A 26,261-nucleotide genomic window follows, 5' to 3' on the forward strand; every position below is an offset into this window, starting at 1 on the left:
CAACAGCTGGGGCCTCTTGCAGAGGAGCCAGGGAGGGAAGGAGGAAAGCCAAGGTCGGGGGGTAAATATCTCAGCCTCACTCACCTCCCATAGGCTAGACCCGCCCAGCATCCCAGGTGCGGGGGCTTGATTGATACAGCCATAGAAGCTGCCAGAAAGCATTTCAGAAAATGTGCATTTGCTCAGAGTAGCAGCTAGAACCCTGGCCCCAGCCCTGGCATTGGCTGTGTGACATGGGGCCGGCTGCTTGGCCTCTCTGAGCTTCAGCTTGTCCCTTAGACCAGGCTGTACCTAGCAGTCCTGACCCCACCGCTCTGATTTCTGGGGACAGACTGTGTGTTGGCAGAGGCACCTGGCCTGTGTCATCCGGTCTGATCCCCCGTCTGTCCCCCTCCCTCTCAGCACGCCTCTGCAGACGTCGAAAAGATGATACTCGGGAACAAGTGTGATGTGAATGACAAGAGACAAGTTTCCAAGGAACGGGGAGAAAAGGTGGGCATGGTGGCACAAGGGGCAGAGGGCCTCGGGGTCTTGGGGTTCTTGTGCAGAGGCCTTCCCCTGTCCCTCCTCTGCCCCAGGGGCCTGAGACGAGTTGGTCACCCCAGTGGGGCACGTGCCATGGGATGACAGAAGCACACACCCAGCCGGGGCTTCTTGGGTGCACTCTGCGGGCATCTCATCAAAACCTACCATGGCCCCGCTCCAGACTTTCAAGACCACAGGAGCGGGGAACAGAGCCATAGTTTGATCCCAGCAGGTCCCCGCCACCCTCCCATCTCAGCTGCCATCCCCAGCAACTCCATGCCCTGTGAGGCCCTGTGGAGGGGCATTCACTATAGAATTGAGGGAGTGATCCAGGAAGTCACGCCCACAGCCCCAGCCCTGTTGCTGCTCCCTCTTGGCGCCGGCCCTGCCTTCAGCTCCTGTTTTAGGCAAGCTCAGATGCGCCCGGCGGCTGGTGTGCTCATGCGTGTGCCTCCCTCTCTCACAGCTGGCCCTCGACTATGGAATCAAGTTCATGGAGACCAGCGCGAAGGCCAACATCAATGTGGAAAATGTGAGTCCCGGGCCCTGCTGGGAGACATGGGGCCTGCAGGATCGGCCCCTTCAGGCTAAAGGGGGAGCTGGCGTCCTCCGAGGAGGTCCTGCCAGACGGACCAGCCTCGGGCTCAGGGCTGCCAGTCAGTCCTCTGAGGGACATTTCCTGGGCAGTGCCACGTGCCAAGCACAGGCAGCCCCTGGGAATGTGCCATCAGCAGGGACAGGCACCACAAAGGGCACCTAGGACGCATCTCACGGGCTCTTGGGCAGCCCTGGGGAATAGGCACGGTTTTACAGGTGAGGAAACTAAGGCTCAGAAAGACCCAGCTCTGTGTTTACCCTCTCAGCCACACCACTCACCCTGGAGAGGCCCCTGTCAAAAAAGCCCAGACATAGCAGGGAGCCCTGATGGGACCTGGGCCCATGCCACCCTCCCCTCTCCACGGGGCGACCCCAGCCCTGCGGCCGATCCTGTGATGTTTCCCCATCCTAGTCATGTTTCCAAGGCGGATCTTCCATATCACTCCCGACCTAAAGTCTCTATGCTGACGTGAAGACAAAGGCTAGACTCCTTGCCTGGCGTGGAAGGCCCTCCCTCACCGGCTACAGCTGGTGTTTGCCACCCAGGGCTCAGGCCTTGCCCTCCCCAGGCCACCTGGGCTGCTCCCTTCTCCAATACGTCACTGCATTTCCCTCCTGTGTGCCCCTTTTTCTGCCTGCCAGGTTCCCTTTTCTAGTCAGGGCCTGGCCCTGGGGGCCTCTCCCCAAGAACACCTTCAGTCTCCCCTGGGCCTTCCTCCGCACCCCAAGCCACTCTCCTCTCCAGAACCTCCCACATCATGGGGATGTATGTTGGGATCACGCCTCCCGCCATCTCTGTATGTCCCCTCCTCAAGGCTGTGACAGCAGCTCAACCCTTGGCTGTGCTGGGAGATGAACCTGCTCCCGCTCCCAGCCCTGCCAGGCAAGGACTCCGAGTGAAGCTTGTTTGGCCACAGAGCTGCTTGCCTTTTTCCCTGACCATCAGAAGGGAGGCCAGAGCTGACAGAACCTAGGAGTCAGAGACAAAGAACTGGGCACTCCTAGATCCTTCTGGATTGGTCGGTTAACTGCTGGGTTCCTTTGGACAAGTCACTTGGCCTCTCTGAGCCTCAGTTTCCTCTCTGGCCAACTGAGTGTCGCCCCATCTCACAGGGCTTAGGGGAGGTGGCACATGCGTAAAGTCCCGTCAATGCTAAGGTGCTCTGCGGAAGTGAGAGTTGATGTCAGAGAGTAAGGGTGGGTGGGAGGCAGAGGGAGCCGGGGAAGGATGAGCTGGGGCCGGACAGGCCAGATGAACCCACTGCCAGAGGCGGGCATCAAAGGGCCAAATGGGAGGCCCACGCCTGGGAAGCTGTCTCACCACACCCGCTGTACACGGGCGGCTGAGGACTCAGGGTCCTGCCATCCCAAGGACTCACAATGTGCTTATTCCACAGGCATTTTTCACTCTCGCCAGAGATATCAAAGCAAAAATGGACAAAAAATTGGTGAGTGTGTGTCCTTCCGAGATCCCCGGGTGGATCTCTGGGATCCAGCCATCGTCGTTAGCAGCAGTGATATGACGTGCCCTAGATCCTGCTTTTTAGGGCCCAGCCAGACCCCATGGGACATTGCTGGGAAAGGGGGAAGAGTTTGCAGGTGTGGCTGGGGCATCAGCATCAGGCAGTGCCAGCCTGGGGACGCTGCCCAAGCAGACAAGGCCGTGCCCGGTGAATCCCCAGGCTAGCAGGGAGCACACGGCCTTTTCCATTCCACTCAAGGGCCAGAAAGACAACATGGTGTGCAAGGACAGAGAGCCATGGCTCGGAGAAAAGCTTCCTAGGTCGCTTGGGCAGGGCCAGGGCTGGTGTCTGATAACTGCTGGCTCATCGTCTTGACAAGCATGGCAGATCAAGAACCTGCCCCCGCTCCACCCCAGCCCCAGATGCTACAAGTTGTGACAGCTCTGCAACCTTCATTGTGTCCCAGGGTTCTCTGAGGCCTCCAGGGAAGTCTGCATGAATCCCTACCCATCTACCCTCTCATTCGTTTCTTGCTTTTTTTTTTTTACCACGTTAGCGATTTCCTAGTCCGCTGCGCTCAGTATCAATGGTGCTTTCTTGATGGAATCAAACACTTCCCTGTACTTTGGGGGCATTTAGTGCCTAAACACCGTAGTGACCCTTCCTCCCTCGCCCTGGTTCCAGCAACTGCCCTTTCCCGGCCATGTTACATTGGTTGTCCAATCGAGGAGCACACGGCGCTCTATTTGTGGGTTAAGTCTGGTCACTTGAGAATGCACATAAAATACAAAATGCCGTTCAAGTTTTACATCTGATGTAAGCAAATCTGTTTTGTAATTCTAAGATGCGGTGTGTTGAACAGTGAGGCATGTGATTGATTTAATAGCAGCTCTTTGGCCATTAAATTAAAATGGGAAACAGTTCATGGAAACCAGTGCACTGACCAACAATAATTTGGGATTTTCTTGCAATTTTTTTTCTTCAGTATAATGGTCAAGGTCTGATTCTTTTTTCTTTTAGTTTTCTTATTAGTTAAAAAAGAGATTTTTTTTTTAGAGTCTCACTTTGCCACCTAGGCTGGAGTGCAGTGGCACCATCACAGCTCACTGCAGCCTTCAACTCCTGGGCTCAAGCAATCCTCCCACCTCCGCCTCCCAAGTAGCTGGGGCTATAAGCACACACCACCATGCCTGGCTAATTTTTTTTCTTTTTCTTTTTTTTTGAGAAGGAGTCTCGCTCTGTTGCCCAGGCTAGAGTGCAATGGTGCAATCCCTGCTCACTGCAACCTCTGCCTCCCAGGTTCAAGCGGTTCTTCTGACTCAACCTCCCGAGTACTTGGGATTACAGGCACATGTCACCACGCCCAGCTAATTTTTGTATTTTTAGTAGAGACGAGGCTTCACCATGTTGGTCAGGCTGGTCTTGAACTCCTGACCTCAGGTGATCCACCTGCCTCGGCCTCCCAAAGTGTTGGGATTACAGGTGTGGGCCACCCCGCCTGGCCATTTTTTCTTTTTTAAGAGGCAGGATCTCACTTGTTACCCAGGCTGGACTCAAACTCCTGGGCTCAAGCAGTTCTTCTGCCTCAGCCTCCCAAAGTGCTGGGAAGGGTATGATGGGGTGGGCAGATAAGTGAGAGAGTGGTTGGAAGGGGTGGTATATAGCAGATGGAAAATAGATCTGTTTCTGAAAAACGAATTATCAGTTGTAAGAGAATTGGATGGATGGGTAGAAGATAATGGATGGATGGTTGGTTGAAAGGGAATAAATCGATGGTTGATTTGTTGGAAGGAGATGGTTGGATAGATAGATGATTGGTTTGTTGGTTGGTTGGAAGGGGATGGATGAATGGTTGGTTGGAAGGAGGTGGTTGCTTGGAAGGGGATGGATGGATGGTTGATTGGTCAGAAGGGGTGGTTAGAAGGAGATGGTTAGTTGGAAGAGGGTGGATGGGGGGAAGGAGATGGATGGGTGGATGGATGGTTGGAAAGGGATGGATGGATGGTTGGTTGGATGAGGTGGTTAGAAGGGGATGGATGGTTGGTTGGTTGGTTGGAAGGGGATGGATGGTTGGAAGAAGATGGATGGTTGGAAAGGGATGGATGAGTGGATGGTTCTTGGTTGGAAGGGATGGATGGTTGGTTGATTGGTTTGTTGGTTGGAAGCAGGTGGATAGACGGATGGAAGGGAATGGGTGAGTGGATGGATGGATGGTTGAAAGGGTATAGATGGATGGTTGGTTGGTTGGTTGGTTGGTTGGTTGGTTGGTTGGTTGGTTGGATGGTTGGAAGGGGACAGCTGGACGGACTGGCAGATGATGGATGGATGGTTTGATGGCTGATTGGTTGGTTGGATGGCTGGAATGGTAATGGATGGATGACCTGGCAGATGATGGATGGATGGTTGGATGGCTCGTTGGTTAGTTGGTTGGTTTGGCTGGTTTGATTGGTTTGGTTGTTTGGTTGGTTGGTTGGTTGGTTGGTTGGATGGTTGGATGGATGGTTAGGTGGATGGTTAGGTGGATGGCTGGTTGATTGTGAGACGTAGTGCTGATTCTCAGTGATAACCTCAGAAAACCTCTTGTGATTTCAGGAAGGCAACAGCCCCCAGGGGAGCAACCAGGGAGTCAAAATCACACCGGACCAGCAGAAGAGGAGCAGCTTTTTCCGATGTGTTCTTCTGTGAGGAACACCGCCTTACTCTGAGCCTCGCTCAGCCCAGCTGACTGTGCCTGTTCTGAGTGAGCCCCTCACTCAGCCGGGGCCCTCCCACCTCCAACGCCCCGCCCACGCCGCGGCCACCGGGCCCACGGCCACCAGAATGCAATTGAGAAATCGTTTATTTTAGTAACTGTCTGATCTTTTTCAACTTTGGAGATGGAATAAGTTAAAAATTTGCTATTTTTCCTGTAACATCTGCTGAACGGGCCCACCCACACGTTGTATATTCAGAGAGAGAGAGGGAGTCAAGGTGTGACCGTCGACCACAGCCAGTGTCAGGCCTCTGCCTCTGGGCCTTTGCTTTGTGGCCTCACTGCAACACAAAGCTCCACCAGGAGGCTGGTTCACGTCCCCTACCACGGAAGCGAGGTCCCAGAAGGCCAGCGGTGGTTCCAGGAGCAACAGCTCCCAAACCCTGAGCAAGGCAACCGATCGCCAGGACCAGGAAGCATCACCCAGGAGATTTGGCGCCCACTTCCACCTCTTCTCTCAGTTTTGGACAAGTGACAAACCATTTTGCCCCCTCACTCTTCTTTTTTAACTGTTAAACCAAAGGAAAGCACAAATGAAGGAAATCCTGTGTAAAGCATTGAGAAGGAAAGAAGCCTGGAGCAGCCTCTCCTGTCCACAGCCAGGGGTTAGGTCTGCAGGCCCGTCTGCGGTCCCCATCGAGCATCAAGGGGACGCTGTGTGTGCTGCAAGTGACCCCGAAAACAACCACAGCCGTCACATGGTCCTCCTGAAGTTGGGGCACCCTCCTCTCAGCACCAAAATGGCCCCCACTCCTTCGTGTCCTCCCGCTATCTCCAAATCGGACGTTCTTTCTAGCTGAGATTTTTATTTTTCCACATCTGTAGTGCCATGAAGCGATTCTGTCTTTGACTTCCAATGGCAAACCTGGGTGATCGGGAACAAGCACGTTGTACCCTTGGCTGGACATGGCCAAGACACAAGGCATTCCACGGCGGCAAGCTGACCGCACAGCAGTCTGGCTTGATTTTCAGCCGTCATCATTGGGTTCTGTTTTGACAGCTCTGCTGTCCCATAGGGACTGCGACTGGGACCAGGTCAACCACGCCAGGGGGGTGTCACCAGCCTTTTCTTTTTTTCTTTCTTTTTTTTTTTTTCCTCCTTAAGCTGCTGTCAATCCAAACCATTGGCATCATCGTTTCTTTTGAATTAAAACCAACATATCAGCAATAGTCTGCTCTCCCCGGGAATCTCTAACATGCTCTGTTTACATCGATAAATGCACTTAAGGAAAACAAACAAATTAAAGCTCATCTTAAAGTCCAAGGATTTTTATGTCCACATTTTCCCTGTAGGCCACACGGACATGGCCAGGTGCTGGGGGTGGGTCTGGACAAGATGGTAGAGCCCATGGATTACCCCATCGAGCGGCCACCTCAGAGGAGATGCCACCCATCATCAAAAGACTAAATTGGGAAAAGAAGCCTCCTGGCTTGGTGCAGTGGCTCACACCTGTAATCCCAGCACTCTGGGAGGCCAAGGCGGGCTGATCACTTGAGCTCAGGTGTTCGAGACCAGCCTGGCCAACATGGTGAGCCTGCGTCACCTGGCTTCTGGCACACAGCTCGGCCACTGTGTCCCTCCTGCCTCCCTGGCAGGTCCTTCTAGGGGCCCTCTCCTGGCTGGCTTTCCAGGGCATTCCTTCCACTCTATCCAGGGTCCTTCCCAAGACCACACCCAGGTCCAGTCATTCCCTAGGACTTGGCAGAGAGCTGTACTCACAGCCAAGATCACAGCAAAATCAGCAAAGGGAAAAGGCATGCAGAGTGAAGTCCAGAGGCAACCAGACAGAAGCATCCAGAATCCTCTCACAGTGGGGTCACACACCCCATGCTTAACTCCCCCAACAATGAGTTGTAACAACAGGTGTGTAATGTGTCTTTTGTGAAAGCTAGTTGGCAGTTCTGTACCCAGGTGTTTATGGAGCCAGTCACATAGGAACCCTCTACCTGGCACTTATCAGGATTCCAGACTCCTACAAAGAAAGCAGGGGTTTAGCATAAACCGCATCACTTGTACAGAAAGTGTATGAGCCACGCATGTAGGGAAGTTTTAATATCCGTAGGGAACTTTACCAACTGCAGGCCCACCTTGCCAGCAGGCCTTTCTCAGGAAGCAGCCTCAGATCTATTCATTCTTTTCTGCACACACTATGCTTTTAGATAGGCCAGTGGCTTTCAAGCTGCAAATCCAGGCCAGACCCAGGTCGGTTTCACCTGCCACTCTCTATTCCAATTTGAATGTCTCATCGGCACCGTAAGCATAACACAGCCCTGACCCTGGACTCCATCCCTGCCTTCCCCATCGTGCCCACAGCTGACCCCTCCCGAGTTGTAGCCACGACCACCTGGACCTCTGTGACCACTTCCTCATGGGTTTCAGGTCCTCACCTCTGTGTTTCAAACTATTTTCAGAGTGTCCTTACGAAACTGAAATCAGTGTCACCTCCTTGCTTAAAGCTCTCCCCAGGGGCTGGGGTGTGTGGCTTATGCCTATAATCCCAGTGCCTTGAGAGGCAGAGGCAGGGGAATAGCTTGAGGCCAGTTCAAGTTAAAGACCATCCTGGACAACATAGTGAGACCCCATCTCTAAAAAAAAAAAAAAAAAAGTACAAAAATTGGCCGGGTGCAGTGGCGCATGCCTCATCCCAGCACTTTGGGAGGCCGAGGTGGGTGGTTCACCTGAGGTCAGGAGTTCAGAGTTCAAGACCAGCCTGGCCAATATGGCAAAACCCCATCTTTACTAAAAATACAAAAATTAGGCATGGTTGCACGCGCCTGTAGTCCCAACTACTCAGGAGGCTGAGGCAGGAGAATCGCTTGAACCTGGGAGGCAGAGGTTGCAGTAAGCCGAGATTGCGCCACTGCACTCTAGCCTGGGTGACAGAGCAAGACTCCGTCTCAAAAAAATAAAAAATAGTATGGTGGCATGCACCTGTAGTCCCAGCTACTCAGGAGGCTGAGGAGGGAGGATCACTTGAGCCCAGGAGTTGGAGGCTGCAGTGAGCTGTGACCACACCACTACATTCCAGCCTGGGTGACAGAGCAAGACCCTTTCTCAAAAAAAAAACAAAAAACCTCCCCAGGTCTTCCTTGGGCTTAGGGATACAACTTACGCCCCTCACCGTGGGGCACAAGCCTCTACACGCTGCAGCCATAGCCCTGCCTACTCCTTCCTCTTTCTCTGGCTGCCCTTCCTGGCTCACTCCACTCCAATCCTCTCCTTCCTTACTCCTTCACTCCACACTCATCACTGAGAAGGCCCCAGGGCCTTTGCACTTGCCACACCCTAGTCTTGTAGTCTCCTGAAATGTGCAAAGCCCACTGTCCATCACATCATGGTTATCCAGGGCTACCTCTGCAGAGGCCTCTCCCAGTCATGCCCTTCTCTCTTCCTAGCTCATCTTCATAGCATTTATGAGAAGTTACCTGTTTTCATTGCCAACCCTGTCCCCACTCAGCCCAAAACCTCCATGAGGACAGGGACTTCTGTAGTGTGCTTGTGTGTGGCCTGAACCCATTGAATTAATGAAGGACACGCAAATGGCCTCTAGGGTGAGCACAAGGGAGGAGACATCCTCTTCCCTCAAAGAAACCAGCTTCCAGGGTTGATCCTGCAGCCTCTGCAGCCTAGGGGGCAGCTCCCCAGGCATTGCAAACTCAGTGGGTTTGGGAACCCCCAGCCACAAACTCCCTTCCCACCTGACCATGCTAGAGGCCTGCCCTGGTGGTCCCTGGCTTAGCTCCCATCAAAATCTCTGTCATCTCTATCCTTGAGCCTCCGAGCACGCACTCAGGAGGACCCTGAATCCTGATACTAAAACTCAAAAGTCACCCCCTGCCACGGATGCCTGATAAATGGCCACTTTGGGAAACTTGCTTTCTTTCCACGAAACTTTGCAGTTTCTGTCCAAAACTGCAAAATTCGGAGACAGTGACAGCCAATGGCAATGAATAGCAGATCCTGACTGGGAACCCATCCTGTGCCTGGCTTTCTTCTGAGCCCTTAATGGGTCACGGATAAGAGGGAGCTGCCTGGGCCCGAATCCCAGCACCACTCAAGACCCACGGTGATAGAGGAGCTAGAAAGAAATTATTTAGGCAGATAGTGAGGGCACCAGAGTCCTTGGCGGAATTTCTTTTCTAACAAAAAGCAGCCCAAGAAATTATTTTTTCTAACAAAAAGCAGTCTGAGAAATCGAGCTGCAGACATAGATAAGCGAGCTAGAAGCTTGCACGGGGAAATGCCAGCAGCTGCGTCAATAGAAAACAGTTGCCTGGGTGCCAGGCAAGACCAACGTGGAGACTCCATCTTCCCTGTTTTTATTACCACGTGTACAGTAAAGGGATGGGCAACATGGCACAGCTCAGGCAGAGGACCCGCTTGCATGATAAAAGATTAGGGGTGGCCAGAAATTCACACCCGATGCAAATGGCACACCTAGTCCTAACCAGTTTTTCACACCCTATGCAAATATAACACCTAGTCCAACCAATCTTTCACGCCTTATGTAAATCAAACACTGCCTCCTCACCAGGCATCTATAAAATCCCCTGCATTTCACTGTGCATCTGTCAATGCATTTTTTCAGGACCTCTCTCTGCAGGAGGGAACTCTTCTCTTTCTTTTGCCTATTAAGCTTCTCTTAACCTCACTCTTGTGTGTCCACGTCCTTGTTCTCCATGGCCATGAGATGACAAATCTCGGGTATCTACCCCAGATGAGGCCGTTTCAATGGCACAGCCTTGGACACATGCCCTCAACAACTGAACTTAGTTTCCTCTCTTGCAAAATAGGGGGGATCATAGTTTCCACCTCATAGGATGGCTATGAAGAGCCAGGGAGATGATGGATCCCAGAGGAGGCACAGGTACATACATAATGAGCACAGAGACAGAATAGGCTGATATCAGCATCATCACTGTCCTCATCACTGTCATCATCATCATTATCATTATTTTAAAGCAGGGTCATCCGGCCGGGCGCGGTAGCTCACACCTATAATCCCAGCACTTTGGGAGGCCGACGTGGGTGGATCACTTGAGGTCAGGAGTTCGAGACCAGCCTGGCCAATATGGTGAAACCCCGTCTCTACTAAAAATACAAAAATTAGCCAGAAATCACTTGAACCAGGGAGGCGGAGGTTGCAATGAACCTAGATCATGCCACTGCACTCCAGCCTGGGCAACAGAGCGAGACTCCGTCTCAAAAAAAAAAAAAAAGAAAAAAAGAAGCAGGGTCTTGCTCTGTTGCCCAGGCTGGAGTGCAGTGGTGGGATCATGGCTCACTGCAGCCTCAACCTCCCAGGCTCAAGTGATCCTCCTGCCTTAGCCTCCCAAGTAGCTGGTACTACAGGTGCATACCACCACACCCAACTAATTGTTTTACTTTTTTGTAGAGATGGTGTCTCACTGCCCAGGCTGGTCTTGAACTGGCCTCAAGTGATCCTCCCACCTCAGCCTCCCAAAGTGTTGGGATTACAGGTGTGAGCCACCACACCCACCCTGTTATTACTATGACCACCATTGTTCATCTTGTTCCCCAAGAAAAGTGCAGTGGTGCAATCTTGGCTCACTGCAACTTCTGCCTCCTGGGTTCAAGCAATTCTCATGCCTCAGCCTCCCGAGTAGCTGGGATTACAGGTCCCGCCACCACGCCTGGCTAATTTTTGTATTTTTAGTAGAGATGGAGTTTCACCATGTTGGCCAGGCTAGTCTCAAACTCTTGACCTCAGGTGATCCACCCACCTTGGCCTCCCAAAGTGCTAGAATTACAGGTGTGAGCCACCGTGTCCAGCCAGTTCTGGACATTTCATATCAATGGAATCATGCACTAGGTGGCCTTTGTGTCTGGCTTCTCTCAGCATCATGTTTTTGGGGCTCATCCACATTGTAGCATGGAGCAGTGCTTCCTTCCTTTCTGTGGCTGAATCATATTTCATGGTGTGGATGATGGAACCACGTTTTGTTTACCCATTCATTCATTCATGGACATTTGGGTTGTTTCCACCGTTTGGACACCTTAGCTGTCATCATCTGTGCCTCAGACATACCAAGTTCTTTCCTACCACAGGGCCTTTGCCCGTGCTGATTTTGTTTGTTTGTTTGAGATGGAGTCTCGCTCTGTTGCCCAGGCTGGAGTGCAGTGGCAAGATCTCAGCTCACTGCACCCTCCGCCTCCCGGGTTCAAGCGATTCTTCTGCCTCAGCCTCCCGAGTAGCTGGGACTACAGGCGTGCGCCACCATGCCCAGCTAATTTTTGTATTTTTGGTAGAGACAGGGTTTCACCATGTTGGCCAGGCTGGTCTCGATCCCTTGACTTCATGATCTGCCTGCCTCAGTCTCCCAAAGTGCTGGGATTACAGGTTTGAGCCACCGCACCCAGCCTGCCCTTGCTATTTTCTTTTCTGCCTGACTGTCCTGCATGTGAACTCATTCAGCATCTGTCTCCTCATAGACTGTGGGCCCTAGAAGGGTGGGGACCATGCCAATCTTGCCTTTTTTTTTTGAGACACAGTCTCACTCTGTGACCCAGGCTGGAGTGCAGTGGCATGATCTCAGCTCACTGCAACCTCCATCTCCCAGTTCAAGCAATTCTTCTGCCTCAGCCTCCTGAGTATCTGGGATTACAGGCATGAGCCACTACGCCCAACTAATTTTTGTGTTTTTAGTATAGACAGGGTTTCCCCATGTTGGCCAGGCTGGTCTTGAACTCCTGACCTCAGGTGATCTGCCCACCTCGGCCTCCCGAAGAGCTGGGATTACAGGCATAAGCCACAGCACCCGGCCCGATCTTGCCTTCTGCTTCATCTGCAGCATCTAGCATGGTGCCCATCCAGAGCTGGGGCTCAGCCAGTGTTTGTGAAATCAATGAATGAATAGAATGAAGGCATTGTAGGAAGCTAAAATCATAAAATTACATCAAGTCCAGGGTTGGGCACAGTGGCTCATGCCTATAATCCCAACACTGGGAGGCTGGGGTGTGAGGATTGCTTGAGCTCAGGCGTTCTAGACCATCCTGGGCAACACAGCAAGACCCTGTCTACAAAATAAAAATTGAAAAATTAACCGGGCATGGTGGTGTGAGCTTGTGATTGCAGCTACTTGGGAGGCTGAGGCGGGAGGATCACTTGAGCCCGGGAGTTTGAGGTTGCAGGGAGCTATGATGGCACAGTGCACTTCAGCCTGGGCAACAGAGTGAGACCTTGTCTCTAAAAAGAATCGCATCAAACCCAGTGTTGGCAGAGCCTAAGGGCTTCCCCACTCCCTGACATGTATGGGCCCAGCATTTTCCCAGCACTAAGATGGCATTGTGGCCACCTCCCCCAAGAGCCACCCCACGTGAATCTGTGAATGGCCCACTTACCAGCTGCGGCCTCTGCTGAGAAGCCCAGATCTGTCTCCCTGGAGAACCTGGTATCAGAGAGAGGGGGCCTTGGAATTCTAGCCCCGTTATCTCCCCATCAGGGCACCTTCGTTTTCCCCTCCACACCCTTCCTTCCTCTGGGGGACGCATGTCCGTTTGCGGGCCGAGGCCTGCGGACACTGAGGGGTGTGGGGGTGATTCTGTTGCGACATCTGAAAGGAAGACGTTAGTTTGTGGGAGACCACATCACCCAAGCAGGTCAGGGGAAGCGAGGTTGGGCCGTTTGTGGTGAGGTCTTAGGGGACTGTGCTAGAGCTGGGCCAGCGTACCCCCATGTTCCTGGAAACTCTAAACCCCATGCAAATAAGAGCCCCGATGGTCAGACTTTCCCAGGAGGATCAGAGAAGTGAAGTGAAGTGAAGGCCAGGCCCGGTGGCTCATGCCTGTAATGCCAGCACTTTGGGAAGTCCAGGCAGGTAGATCGCTTGAGGCCAGGAGTTTGAGGCTGCAGTGAGTTGTACTTGCACCACTGCACTCCAGCCTGGGCAACAGAACAAGATCCTGTCTCAAAAAAATAAAAAATAAAAATAAATAAATAAATACTTCAGGCCTATAATCCCAGCACTTTGGGAGGCCAAGGTGGGCAGACCACTTGAGGTCAGGAGTTCAAGACCAACCTGGCCAACATGGTGAAACCCTGTCTCTACTAAAAATATAAAAATTAGCCAGGAGTGGTGGTGCACACTTATAATCTCAGCTACTGGGGAGACTGAGGCAGGAGAATCGCTTGAACCCGGGAGGTGGAGGTTGCAGTGAGCCAAGATCGCACCACTGTACTCCAGCCGGGGCGATAGAACAAGACATCATCTCAAAAATAAAAAGGCCAGATGCAGCAGCTGACACCTGTAATCCTAACACTTTGGGAGGCTGAGGCGGGAGGATCACTTGAACGAGACCAACCTGGCAACATGACAAAACCCCATCTCTTCAAAAATCCAAAAATTAGCCAGGCGTGGTGGTGGTGCTCCTGTAGTCCCAGCTACTCAGGAGGCTGAGATGGGAGGATCACTTGAGCCCAGGAAGTAGAGGCTGTGGTGAGCTGAGACTGCACCACTGCACTCCAGCCTGGGCAACAGAGTGAGGGGACCCTACTCAAAAAAAAAAGAAGAAGAAAAAGAGATTAGCCACAGAGAGGTGAAGTGAGTTGCCCAAGGCAGCTCAGCCCATGAGGTCTGAGGCCCAAGCCAGAGTCTCCCCCAGGCAAACACAAAGGCCTTGCTTGAATTAAGTCACAACAAAGAGTCCTGATTCTCTCACTCCCAACTCATCTCCATGTGCTGTGCTGGAGAGTTGCCTCTCCTAGCATCTTCACATGATTAAGGAGGGCTATTATGCCCATTGCACAGATGCAGAACTGAGGCTCAGAGAGGCTGAGCAACTCACCTTAGGACACACAGCAGGTGAGTGAGAAGCAGGGCTCCACGTGTCTCCTGCTTAGACCTTGTTGACCACAGAGGGCAGACGAGGTGCTGCTGTTGCCGAGGAGGAGCAGGGGGGTGAGAGAGGCACCCAGGGTGAGCCTGGGGTTATCTAGCCCAGCTGGGCCAGGGCAATAGGCCCTTGGGGAGGCCCCCAGTAGGATCTGGGCCCTTTCTGCCTGAAAGGAGAGGAGGAAGTAGTTTTGTTTGTCTGCCTGGGGTACGAGCACACGGCCAGAGCTGGCCAATCTGTTAGGCACACAGGGCCTGCACCCAGGACCCAAGTGCTGTGTGGGACTTCCCAAAGGGCTTCAGCTTATTTAAAATCAGAAGAAAAAAAACTGAACATCCTAATAATAAATATACAATAAGGAATCCAGCCTGGACCACATCGGTCTTAATGCCAACACAGTTGTAAAATAGAATTTTAAGCTGGCACGGCGGCCCACACCTGTAATCCCAGCACTTTGGGAGGCTGAGGCGGGTGGATCACCTGAGGTCAGGAGTTTGAGACCAGCCTGGCCAACATAGTGAAACCTTGTCTCTACTAAAAATACAAACATTAGCCAGGCGTGTTGGTGGGCACCTCTAATCCCAGCTACTCAGGAGGCTGAGGCAGGAGAGTCACTTGAACCAAGGTGGGCGGATCGCTTGAGCCCCAGGAGTTTGAGACCAGCCTGGGCAACACAGCAAGATCCCATCTCCAAAAAAAATATTTTTTTAATTAGTCAGGTGTGGTGGTGTGTGCCTGTAGTCCCAGCTACTTGGGAGCCTGAGGCAGGAGGATCACTTGAGTCCAGCAGTTCAAGACTGCAGTGAGCTATGATCATACCACTGCACTCCAGCCTGAGTGACAGAGTGAAACTCTGTCTCTAAAATAGGTTAGTCAATTAATAAAAATATTTTAAAATATTTTATAATGGAGGAAGTCCTGGTGTGGACCTATGCGTGCCATGAGACCCCAGCCTGTCCAGGCTCAATTCAGTTTCAAGGCCTTTGTGCCTGCTCTTCCCTCCCCCAGCCTGGGCAATATAGCAAGACCCCATCTCTACAAAAAAATATACTCTTTCTGCACTACGCACTCCCCAAATCAAGATGATTCCTTCTCACCCTCAAATGCCCCTTCCTTCACGTCAGTTAGGTCACCTCTGTGGGTTTGTGCAACTGCTGTTCCCACTTCCTGTTTCCCCTTTGGATTTTTTTGTTTGTTTGGGGTTTTTTGTTTTTTTGTTTTGTTTTGTTTGGTTTTCGTTGGTTTTGTTTTGTTTGAGACGGAGTTACACTCTCGCTGCCCAGGCTGGAGTGCAGTGGTGAGATCTCAGCAAACCGCAACCTCCACCTCCCGGGTTCAAGCGATTCTCCTGCCTCAGCCTCCCAAATAGCTGGGATTACAGGCATGTGTCACCACGCCGGGCTAATTTTGCAGTTTTAGTAGAGACGGGATTTCTCCATGTTGGTCAGGCTGGTCGCGAACTCCTGACCTCAAATGATCTGCCCACCTTGGCCTCCCAAAGTGCTGGGATTACAGGCATGAGCCACCGCACCCAGCTGGTGTTTTTTTGTTTGTTTGTTTTGCGGGGGACAGAATTTCCCTCTGTCATCCAGGCTAAAGTGCAGTGGCGTGATCTCGGCTCACTGCAGCCTCTGCGTCCCTGGTCCAAGCGATTCTCTTGCATCAGCCTCCTGAGTAGCTGGGATTACAGGCACCCGCCACCACGCCTAATTTTTGTATTTTTAGTAGAGACAGGGTTTTACCATGTTGGCCAGCCTGGTCTCAAACTCCTGGCCTCAAATGATCCACCCGCCTCGGCCTCCCAAAGTGCTGGGATTACAGGCGTGAGCCACCGCGCCCAGTTTCTGTTCCCCCTTTGTTGCTTTTGTTTTTGTTTTGAGAAGGAGTCTCACTCCGTTGCCCAGGCTGGAGTGCAATGGTGCGATCTCTGCTCACTGCAACCTCCGCCTCCCGGGTTCAAGCAATTCTTGTGCCTCAGCCTCCTGAGTAGCTGGGATTACAGGCGTGCGCCGCCACACCCGGCTGATTTTCGTATTTTAATAGAGACGGGGTTTTGCCATGTTTGCCAGGCTGGTCTCAAACTCCTGACCTCAAGTGATCCGCCTGCCTCAGCCTGTCAAAGTGCTGGGATTGCAGGTGTGAGCCACCGCACCCGTTCCCCGTTCTCCCTTTGTAATGATGTCTCACTCCTCTTCACTGCTTGATAGATTATAGATGCCAGGAGTCAGGGGGCCTGCACCTGTCTCCGTGTCACCCCTGTGTCCTCCAAACAGCAGGCACACAGTAGGTGCTCAATAACAACTTGCTGGGGGCAAGACAGGAGCAAGCTGTCTCTGCACCTGTGGCACCAGATGCTTTGTTGGACTGCAGACAGGGTGACTTGAGCTGTCCTTGTTCCGCCCCCAGGGCTCACCTGCTTGAGGAAACAGGAACTGCCTCGGGGCAGCCAGCCCCGCCCCATTGACGTGCAGACCTTGAATCGAAACCCAGGCTCCTGCAGGCACTGGCACAGCTACAGCGAGGGCCTCGGCCATCCAAGGGTCTCCCAGGTATGTGACCCAAGAGCCTCAGCCCTCGAGGAGACAGAACGTGGGGGCTGGGCTAGGCCAGAAGGAGGGACAGGGCTAGTGGGGCCTGGGGTGGCAGGAGGGATTTTCTAGGGGCATGGGGGAGAGCTTCGTGGAGGAGGGGGTATTTGTGGTGACCACAAATGGAAAATGGAGCTGGAGTTAGGGAAAAGGGGGTCTTGGCAAGACAACAGCATGAGCAAAGGTATGGAGAGGCAAGAGAGAGAGAGCAAGGATGTCTTTAGGTCTAGAATGTGGGTAGCGGGGAAGTAGAGGAGGCTCCCAGGCCAGGGTCAGGAGCTTGAATTTGAGCATGCGGTCTTTCATCACTAGATAGCTGTTCACCAGCAAAGACCCTTGCACCCTCCTCTGTGCCAGGCCAGCACCAGGACACAGAAAAAAACAACAACACAGGAACCTAGCCCTAAGCCCTGATCCCTAGGAGGCCCTCAGGCTGGTGGAGACAGAGCAAGATAAAGACACTCTAGCTCCATGGAGTCATGGCTGGACCAGAGAGAGGAACAGGGGGGAACGTTGGGGACAGAGAGGGGTGCCAGGGTGTTGTCTGGGGGGAGATGCAGGAAAGCTGCCTGGAGGAGGGGACATTTTTACTGGGTTTTGAAGGATAAATAGGAGCTCTTCCAAGTAAAAAAAAAGAATAAGCCTGTAAACATTACCCCATGATAGGTCACAACTGGATTCATGAATATTGTATATATATCTCTATATATACACAGTGCTAGCTAAACTTTCCTAGGTAAATATCATTATTCCCAAATTAAAGACAGAAATACAGGGACAGAGAGCCATTAAGTGACTTATCTGAGGTCACACAGCGGCTAAGTGGGCGAGCTAGGGTTTGAACCCAGGCCATCTGGGTCGAATTCTAGGCTCTTTTTTTTTTTTTTTTTTTTTTTTGAGACGGAGTCTTGCTCTGTCGCCCAGGCTGGAGTGCAGTGGCTCGATCTCAGCTCACTGCAAGCTCTGCCTCCCGAGTTCACGCCATTCTCCTGCCTCAGCCTCCCAAGTAGCTGAGACTACAGGCGCCCGCCACCACACCCAGCTAATTTTTCGTATTTTTAGTAGAGACGGGGTTTCACCATGTTAGCCAGGATGGTCTCAATCTCCTGACCTCGTGATCTGCCTGCCTCAGCCTCCCAAAGTGCTGAGATTACAGGCATGAGCCACCGCACCTGTCCCAGGCTCTTTTTTTGTTGTTGGTGGTGATGGGTTTTTTTTTTGGGGTTTTTTTTTTTTTTTTTGTGAGACAGAGTTTCGCTCTGTTGCTCAGGCTGGAGTGCAGTGGTGCGATCTTGGCTCACTGCAAACTCTGCCTCCCGAGTTCAGATGATTCTCCTGCCTCAGCCTCCTGAGTAGCTGAGACTACAGGCACATGCCACTGTAAGTTTTGTATTTTTATTTCATATTTATTTATTTTGAGATGGAGTCTTGCTCTGTTGCCCAGGCTGGAGTGCAGTGGCTCGATCTCAGCTCACTGCAACCTCCGCCTCCCAGATTCACGCAATTCTCCTGCCTCAGCCTCCTGAGTAGCTGGGATTACAGGGGTGAGCCACCTTGCCCAGATAATGATTGTCTTTTTATTAGAGATGGGGTTTCACCATGTTGGCCAGGCTGGTCTCAAACTCCCAGCCTCAGGCAATCCGCCTGCCTCAGGCTCTGACAGTGCTGGGATTACAGGTGTGAGCTACTGCACCCAGCCTCCAATTCCAGGCTCTTAATCATTTTGTCACCCTGCTTTATTAAACATTTCTTAATACAGTTATTTAATTTTGGTTGCCCCAGAATTCCCTCAGGCCATACCCCAGAGGGTATGCTTGACATCTGGTTGGAGAAAGTCAATATTGACTGCCATTGGTCAACAGACCCCGCCTCCTCATAGAGACAGCCCAGTAAAAAGATCTTTTGAGATATTGAAACATTAGATGGGGCCAATGGGTGGAGGGAGTGAGCTCCAGTTTAAGGACAGAATTTATGGTGAGTGGCCGGGCGCAGTGGCTCACGCCTGTAATCCCAGCACTTTGGGAGGCCAAGGTGGGTGGATCACTTGAGGTCAGGATTTGGAGACCAGCCTGGCCAACATGGTGAAACCCCATCCCTGCTAAAAATACAAAAATGATCCAGGCGTGGTGGCACATGCCTGTAATCCCAGCTATTCAAGAGGCTAAGGCAGGAGAATCACTTGAACCTGGGAGGCGGAAGTTGCAGTGAGCTGAGATCGCGCCACTGCACTCCAGCCTGGGCAACAGAGCGAGATTCCATCTCAAAAAAAAAAAAAAAAAAGAATTAAGGGTGAGCAAGAGGGGTCCTGAAGGAACTATCTAGCAAGATACAATCCTTTGGCTTGTCTTACACTCACTTAATAATGTTTTGCAAAACGGTGCTGCTTTCTCTCTCCAGCTCTGTCATTGGTACACAAAGTCCCATGGTACCGCTTGCTTAAAATTGTCAAGAAAGTGTGTGAATTAATGATGCATCTGACATATCGTAGGTGTGCCATGAGTGGCTACAACGTGTAGTGACGTTGGTGGCAGAAGTGACTGTCTGAAGCCACATTTCTCTGGTGTTTAATGAAACCAAGGCAGCCAGGCACTGTGGCTCATGCCTGTGATCCCAGTATGTTGGGAGGCTGAGGTGTTAGGATTGCTTGAGCCCAGGAGTTCAAAGCCAGACTGGACAACAGAGCAAGACCCTGTTTCTACAAAAAAATTTTCAAAATTAGCCAGGCATGGTACTGCATGCCTGTAGTCCCAACTACTCAGGAGGTTGAAGTGGGAGGATTGCTTGAGCCTAGGAGGTTGAGGCTGCAGTGAGCATGAGCTGTGATTGCACCATTGCACACTCCAGCCTCAGGAACAGAGGGAAACCCTGTCTCAAAAAAAAAGAAAGAAAGAAATCAGGGCAACCCTTTTTGACCACCACCGTTGGGTCAGCTGTTTATTTCGTTCACTTGCCATTTTGTCATTTCCTTATTCCTCCAGGGGCCTTGATATTTACTTAATATTTAAATACTCTACTCTTTTTTTTTTTTTTGAGATGGAGTCTCACTCTGCCCCCCAGGCTGGAGTGCAATGGCGCGATCTTGGCTCACTGCAACCTCTGCCTCCTGAGTTCTAGCAATTCTCCTGCCTCAGCCTCCTGAGTAGCTGGGATTACAGGCACCCACCACCTCATCTGGCTAATTTTTGTATTTTTAGTAGAGATGGGGTTTCACCATGTTGGCCAGGCTGGCCTCGAACTCCTGACCTCAGGTGATCCACCTGCCTCAGCCTCCCAAAGTGCTGGGATTACAGGCGTGAACCACCATGCCCAGCTCTAAATACTCTATTCTTAAATTTCAAAACATTTATTTATAAAATGAACTTTCTAGTCCTTGCAATAATGGCATAAAAGGCTGGGCACAATGGCTCACACCTGTAATGCTAGCACTTTGGGAGGCTGACACAGGTGGATTTCTTGAGTCCAGGAGTTTGAGACCAATGTGGGCAGCAAGGTGAAACCCCATCTCTACAAAAATACAAAAATTAGCCAGGCGTGGTGGCACATGCCTGTGGTCCCAGCTACTTGGGGGACTGAGGTGGGAGAATCACTTGAGGGAAGAAGGTCGAGGCTGCAGTGAGCCAAGATGGGGCCACTGCACTCCAGCCTGGGTGACAGAGTGAGACCCTGTCTCAAAAAAAAAAAAAAAGAAAAAAAACACAATGGCATAAGAAGAATAAAAGGAAAAGTCCTTGAAGGCCTTTGGGGATGAGCCAATGAATGAATGTGTAAAAACTATCAGGCACATAGTAGGTGCCCAAAAAATCACAAGCCAGTGGTTTTTTTTTTGTTTTGTTTTGTTTTGTTTTGTTTTGAGACGGAGTCTCACTCTGTTGCCCAGGCTGGAGTGCAGTGGTGCAATCTCGGCTCACTGCAGCCTCCGCCTCCTGGGGTCAAGTGATTCTCGTGCCTCAGCCTCCCAAGTAGCTGTGATTATAGGCACAGGCCGCTGTGCCCAGCTCATTTTTGTATTTTTGTAGTGACAGGGTTTCACCACGTGGCCCAGGCTGGTCTTGAACTCCTGATCTCAGGTAATCCACCTGCCTTGGCCTCCCAAAGTGCTAGGATTACAGGCGTGAGCCACCACGCCCAGCCACACAAGCCAGTTTTTTGTTGTTGTTGTTTTTGAAACATGGTCTTGCTCTGTTCCCCAGGCTGGAGTGCAGTGGCACAACCACAGCTCACTGCAGCCATATCCTCCTGAGCTCAAGGGATCCTCCCACCTCAGCCTCCTGAGTAGCTGGGACTACAGGCATGCACCACCACACCCAGCTAATTTTTAAATTTTATTTTATTGATTTATTTGCTTATTTATTTTTTGAGGAGTCTCACTCTGTCGCCCAGGCTGGAGCACAGTGGCATGATCTTGGCTCACTGCAACCTCTGCCCCCCGGGTTCAAGTGATTCTCCTGCCTCAGCCTCCGGAGTAGCTGGGATTACAAGTGCCCACCACCACACCCAGCTAATTTTTGTATTTTTAGTAGAGACAGGGTTTCATGATGTTGGCCGGGCTGGTCTCAAACTCCTGACCTCAGGTGATCTACCCACCTTGGCTTCCCAAAGTGCTGAGATTACAGGCGTGAGCCACCGCACCTGGCCAAATTTTTTAATTTTTTGTAGAGATGGGGGTCTCACTATGTTGCCCAGGCTGGTCTGGAACTCCTGGGCTCAAGCAATCCTCCCACCTTGGCCTCCCAAAGTGCTGGGATTACACATGTGAGCCGTCACACCCAGCCACAAGCCAGTTTTAAGTCCATTGCTCTGTCCACCCTGGAGGACTTCTCAAAGGAGGAGGCACCACAAGCTTCAAGAATAGAGCAAAGATAAGAGGTGCATCAAGCTTGATTCTTGTCTTCCCTCCCTTCTCTACCCAGGTGACCTTCCCTCCACCCCAGGAAGCTATGACAGAGGCCGGGAAGCTGCCCCTACCGCTACCCCCACGGCTGGACTGGTTTGTGCACACCCAGATGGGCCAGCTGGCCCAAGACGGGGTCCCCGAGTGGTTCCATGGTGCAATCTCAAGAGAGTGAGGACACACCCACACCCTCCACCCTGCCCTCCCCACCCTGTCCTTGTCTGTCCCTACCCTGGGCAGCTTTTAACTGCAGAATTCTGGACTTGGCTCAGCTCAGTGTGGCAAGAGGCTAAAATGAGCTCCAGGCTCCCAGGCTTGAATCCTGCCACCTCTTTGGGCTCACTGTGTGACCTGGGGCAAGTTACTTGCTCTCTCTGAGCCTCAGCTTTCTCTATACAAGTGGCCAACAGACCAGCACTGCCAGGGACCTGGCAGCACCCCACACCTCGCCCAGGCCAAGCATTACCAATCAACGATGGCAGCATGCAGCCTCAGAATCTTTCTCTCTTTCTTTTTGAGACAGGGTCTCACTCTGTCACCCAGGCTGGAGTGCAGTGGTGCAATCTTGGCTCACTGCAACCTCTGCCTCCCGGACTCAAGTGATTCTTCCGCCTCAACTTGCTAAGTAGCTGGGATTACAGGCACATGCCACCAAGCCTGACTAATTTTTGTGTTTATAGTAGAGATAGGGTTTCACCATGTTGGCCAGGCTGGTCTCAAACTCCTGGCCTCAAGTGATTCACCCGCCTCGGCCTCCCGAAGTGCTGGGATTACAGGCGTGAGCCACCGCACCCGGCCAGAATCTTTCTGAACACAGTACTCCAAGCAGCTGCTCTCAACCCATCAGGATACAACCAATGTGCCCTTTCTTTTTTTTTCTTTTTCTATTTTTTTTTTTTGAGACAGAGTTCCGCTCCTGTTGCCCAGGCTGGTGTGTAGTGGCGCGATCTCGGCTCACTGCAGCCTCTATCTCCTGGGTTCAAGCAATCCTCCTGCCTCATGAGTAGCTGGGACTACAGGCATGCACCACCGCACCCGGCTAATATTTGTATTTTTAGTAGAGACGAGGTTTCACCATGTTGGCCAGGCTAGTCTCAAACTCCTGACCTCAAGTGATCTGCCGGCCTCGGCCTCCCAAAGTGCTGGGATTACAGGCATGAGCCACCGTGCCTGGCCCCAATGTGCCCTTTCTACCTCAGACTGTGAGCTCTGAGGATGTGGGCCCGGCTCTAACTAAATGGAGGAAAAAATATTTATGGCCACTCTCTGCATGCAGGAAATTGAGAAAATTCTGTGAAGGCCACAGAGAGGAAGTAGTATTGGTCATGGTTTCTGAGCTCTGGGGCCTTGCTGAATAACAGAAATATAACATGAGTTGCACATTGCAATTTAAAAAAATTTTAGTAGTTATATTAAAAGAAGCAGCTGGCTGCACTGGCACTTACCTTTAATCCCAGCTACTTGGAATGCTGAGGCGGGAGGATCGCTTGAGCCCAGGAGTTCAAGGCTGGCCTGGACAACATAGTGAGACTCCATCTCTAAAAGGAATTTTAGGCTGGGTGCAGTGGCTCATGCTTGTAATCCCAGCACTTTGGGAGGCCGAGGCTGGCAGACCACCTGAGGTCAGGAGTTTGAGACCAGCCTGGACAACATGGTGAAACCTTGTGTCTACTGAAAATACAAAATTAGCCAGGCGTGGTGGCGCATGCCTGTAATCCCAGCTACTCGAGAGGCTGAGGCAGCAGAATCACTTGAACCCAGGAGGCGGAGATTGCAGTGAGCTGAGGTCGTGCCACTGCACTCCAGGCTGAGCAACAAGAGTAAAACTCCGTCTCAAAAAAAAAAAAATTAACTGGGCACGGTGGCACGTGCCTGTAATCCCAGCTACTCGGGTGGCTGAGGCAGGAGACTTGCTGGAACCCTGCAGGCAGAGATCATGCCACTGCACTCCAGCCTGGGTGACAGAGCAAGATTCCAGCTCAAAAAAAAAAAAAAATTAAAAAAATTAGCCAGGCGTGTGGAACATGCCTGTGGTTCTGGCTACTCAGGAGGCTGAGGTGGGAGGATCTCTTGAGCCCAGGAATTCAAGGTTTCAGTGAGTTATGATTGCATCTCTGCACTCCAGCCTGAGTGATAGAGTAAGACCCTGTCTCAAAAACAAAAAACAATTCATGAAACAGCATATGTTCCTTTTTTGTGTTGTTTTGGAAATCAGTACAAAAGGCCAGTGGCCTCTGTATTGAACAGTGCAGGACCAAAGTCTCCCCAGCTTGTCCCACAGAAGGCGGCCTTCCTCTCTGTGAACTCCAGATAATAATGGTAATAATATAGAAAATAGACTGATTTCGGTGGCTCACGCCTGTAATCCCAGCACTTTGGGAGGCCGAGGCGGGCGGATCACCAGAGGTCAGGAGCTCGAGACCAGCCTGGCAAACATGGTGAAACCCCGTCTCTACTAAAAATACAAAAAATTAGCTGGGCGTGGTTGCGGGTACCTGTAATCCCAGTTACTTGGGAGGCTGAGGCAGGAGAATAGCTTGAACCTGGGAGGCAGAGGTTGCAGTGAGCCAAGATTGCATCATTGCACTCCAGCCTGGGCAACAAAAGCAAAACTCCAACTCAAAAAAAAAAAAAAAAAGAGAGAGAGAGAGAATAATAGTAATAATAACAGCAAACATTTTGGGAGCACTTACCAGGTAGCAGCTGTCATGCTTATGTTGCAAGTTCTTTCTGTTCTCACAGCAGCCTTGGAAGTGGAGTTTACTCTCCCCTTGAGGAAGCTGAAGGTCAGAAAGGGAGAGACGATTGCCTGAGGTCACACAGCTGATGGACAGTAGAGCTGGGTTATGAACTCGAATGCATCTGAGCATACAGGTCCTTCTTTGTTACTTGTGACACCTTGATCCACCCAAAGGTGCCTTAATCGGGGGATTCCAGGCATTGGGAAGGGGCTGTGGGAGATGGGAGGAGGTCTGGCCTGAGATCAAGGTCATCAGACGCCTCCTAGCTCCTCGGGGGGAACATCCCTAATCCCTGAATAGCCCAAGGTCTGCCACAGCTGAAAAAAAAAAAAAAAAAAAAAAAAGATGGGTTTGGGGTGTTTGTTCATTTAGAAAACAGGCCGGGCACAGTGGCTCACACCTGTAATCCCAGCACTTTGGGAGGCTGAGGCAGGCGGATCACTTGAGGACAGGGGTTTGAGACCAGCCTGGCCAACATGGTGAAACCCTGTCTCTACTAAAAAAAAAAAAAAAAAGTTGGGCATGGTGGCGGGCGCCTGTAATCCCCGCTACTCAGGAGGCTGAGGCAAGAGAATCACCTGAACCCAGGAGGTTGAGGCTGCAGTAAGCCAAGGTCACGCCATTGCACTCAGCCTGGGAGACAGAGCGAGACTCTGTCTCAACAAAAAAAAAAAAAAAAAGGAAAAAAGAGGCCGGGCACGGTGGCTCACACCTATAATCCCAGCACTTTGGGAGGCCGAGGTGGGCGGATCACGAGGTCAGGAGATCGAGACCATCCTGGCTAACACAGTGAAACCCCATCTCTACTAAAATATACAAAAAATTAGCCGGGCGTGGTGGCTGGCGCCTGTGGTCCCAGCTACTTGGGAGGCTGAGGCAGGAGAATGGCGTGAATCCGGGAGGCGGAGCTTGCAGTAAGTTGAGATCGCGCCACTGCACTCCAGCCGGGGGGACAGAGCGAGACTCTGTCTCAAAAAAAAAAAAAAGGAAAAAAGAAAAATGAAAACTACCAGCCTTCTCCATGAATGATCCCATGGCCCCAGGAGTCTAACTGGTACGTGGGGCGGCTGGACTGTTTCATTTCCTTTCTGTGTGTGCCCTTCCAGGGATGCTGAGAACTTGCTGGAGTCACAGCCACTGGGATCCTTTCTCATCAGGGTCAGTCACAGCCATGTGGGCTACACACTCTCCTACAAGTAAGGCCTGGGCCGGGATCCAGGGCAGGGGCAGGTGGGCTCTTGGGTTTCCTTGGAGGGGGCAAGGGGTGCTTCATGTCATAGCTTCTCAGAAAGCAGCAGTAACTGAGGCTGTGGATCTGAGAACGGGAGCTGCTAGCCAAGCAATGAGTGAAGCTTTTGTCCGTAGTGGCATGTTTTATCTGAGGCCAGCCTTTGTACTCCTGTGTTATAAATGGGGGAAACTGAGGCACAGCGAGGTTAGTAACCTGCTGGGTGTTGCATGGCCAGTGAGTGAAGAAGCCTGCATGGGAACCTGGGGTAGTCTGGCTGTAGCAGTGACGCTGCCGGCCCAAGGGCTGGGGACTTGGGGCAGGGATGAGGGGGAGTAGGATGTCCCAGCCCCCGCAGTGTCTCCGCAGAGCCCAAAGCAGCTGCTGCCATTTCATGGTGAAGCTCTTGGATGATGGGACTTTCATGATCCCCGGGGAGAAGGTGGCCCACACCTCGCTGGACGCCCTGGTCACCTTCCACCAGCAGAAGCCAATTGAGCCGCGCAGGGAGCTGCTGACACAGCCCTGCAGGCAGGTGAGGGCGGGGACCCACAAGGTTCACAGCCATTTCCTTGGGGCCAAGCCCCCCAGACCCCTTTGTTTCCCACGCCCCCATCAGCTC

At 51.8% G+C, this 26,261-nt stretch overlaps 2 protein-coding genes and 1 long non-coding RNA gene across 18 annotated transcripts in view, besides 8 other annotated features; 2 read left to right on the forward strand and 1 right to left on the reverse strand.

Moving 5' to 3' along the window:
* The window catches only part of RAB8A (RAB8A, member RAS oncogene family), a 22,346-nt gene extending 15,146 nt beyond the window's left edge, over window positions 1–7,200 (forward strand). Inside the window, exons 5-8 of the mRNA NM_005370.5 lie at window positions 403–492; window positions 992–1,057; window positions 2,520–2,570; window positions 5,178–7,200. Of these exons, the coding sequence (NP_005361.2) occupies window positions 403–492; window positions 992–1,057; window positions 2,520–2,570; window positions 5,178–5,270 (300 nt within the window). The 3' untranslated portion in view covers window positions 5,271–7,200. The remainder of the gene's footprint in view (window positions 1–402; window positions 493–991; window positions 1,058–2,519; window positions 2,571–5,177) is intronic.
* Window positions 1–12,881, reverse strand: part of HSH2D-AS1 (HSH2D and RAB8A antisense RNA 1) — an 18,077-nt gene extending 5,196 nt beyond the window's left edge. For both annotated transcript variants that reach the window (NR_199155.1, NR_199156.1), the window contains exon 1: window positions 12,701–12,881. This is a non-coding gene — a long non-coding RNA (HSH2D and RAB8A antisense RNA 1). The remainder of the gene's footprint in view (window positions 1–12,700) is intronic.
* The window catches only part of HSH2D (hematopoietic SH2 domain containing), a 24,548-nt gene continuing 5,280 nt past the window's right edge, over window positions 6,994–26,261 (forward strand). For 3 of the 15 annotated variants that reach the window (NM_001352265.2, NM_001382417.1, NM_001369809.1), the window contains exons 1-4: window positions 16,651–16,740; window positions 21,690–21,841; window positions 25,518–25,607; window positions 26,009–26,174. In NM_001352265.2, coding sequence (NP_001339194.1) covers window positions 21,717–21,841; window positions 25,518–25,607; window positions 26,009–26,174 — 381 coding nt within the window. In that variant the 5' untranslated portion in view covers window positions 16,651–16,740; window positions 21,690–21,716. Of the gene's footprint in view, window positions 7,202–14,906; window positions 15,060–16,597; window positions 16,741–21,689; window positions 21,842–24,412; window positions 24,545–25,517; window positions 26,175–26,261 lie in introns of those variants that run through there. The other 12 variants (NR_163155.1, NM_001352266.2, NR_163152.1 and 9 more) reach the window with 10 other exon arrangements.
* Window positions 14,452–14,521: an enhancer, noted in NCBI's record as "active region_14208". NCBI's record gives its function as "activates an Ori minimal core promoter by ATAC-STARR-seq in GM12878 lymphoblastoid cells {active_cell/tissue: GM12878}" and the evidence as "EXISTENCE:reporter gene assay evidence [ECO:0000049][PMID:35858748]".
* Window positions 15,944–15,993: an enhancer, noted in NCBI's record as "active region_14209". NCBI's record gives its function as "activates an Ori minimal core promoter by ATAC-STARR-seq in GM12878 lymphoblastoid cells {active_cell/tissue: GM12878}" and the evidence as "EXISTENCE:reporter gene assay evidence [ECO:0000049][PMID:35858748]".
* Window positions 16,092–16,786: an enhancer, noted in NCBI's record as "H3K27ac-H3K4me1 hESC enhancer chr19:16253936-16254630 (GRCh37/hg19 assembly coordinates)". NCBI's record gives its function as "activates a minimal SCP1, AML or CMV promoter by ChIP-STARR-seq in naive H9 embryonic stem cells {active_cell/tissue: H9 hESC(naive)}" and the evidence as "EXISTENCE:reporter gene assay evidence [ECO:0000049][PMID:30033119]".
* Window positions 16,274–16,433: an enhancer, noted in NCBI's record as "active region_14210". NCBI's record gives its function as "activates an Ori minimal core promoter by ATAC-STARR-seq in GM12878 lymphoblastoid cells {active_cell/tissue: GM12878}" and the evidence as "EXISTENCE:reporter gene assay evidence [ECO:0000049][PMID:35858748]".
* Window positions 16,514–16,773: an enhancer, noted in NCBI's record as "active region_14211". NCBI's record gives its function as "activates an Ori minimal core promoter by ATAC-STARR-seq in GM12878 lymphoblastoid cells {active_cell/tissue: GM12878}" and the evidence as "EXISTENCE:reporter gene assay evidence [ECO:0000049][PMID:35858748]".
* Window positions 16,914–16,993: an enhancer, noted in NCBI's record as "active region_14212". NCBI's record gives its function as "activates an Ori minimal core promoter by ATAC-STARR-seq in GM12878 lymphoblastoid cells {active_cell/tissue: GM12878}" and the evidence as "EXISTENCE:reporter gene assay evidence [ECO:0000049][PMID:35858748]".
* Window positions 17,004–17,053: an enhancer, noted in NCBI's record as "active region_14213". NCBI's record gives its function as "activates an Ori minimal core promoter by ATAC-STARR-seq in GM12878 lymphoblastoid cells {active_cell/tissue: GM12878}" and the evidence as "EXISTENCE:reporter gene assay evidence [ECO:0000049][PMID:35858748]".
* Window positions 18,692–18,741: a silencer, noted in NCBI's record as "silent region_10291". NCBI's record gives its function as "represses an Ori minimal core promoter by ATAC-STARR-seq in GM12878 lymphoblastoid cells {active_cell/tissue: GM12878}" and the evidence as "EXISTENCE:reporter gene assay evidence [ECO:0000049][PMID:35858748]".

This window comes from Homo sapiens, chromosome 19 (assembly GCF_000001405.40).
Source record: "Homo sapiens chromosome 19, GRCh38.p14 Primary Assembly".
In the NCBI taxonomy this organism is placed as follows: domain Eukaryota; kingdom Metazoa; phylum Chordata; class Mammalia; order Primates; family Hominidae; genus Homo; species Homo sapiens.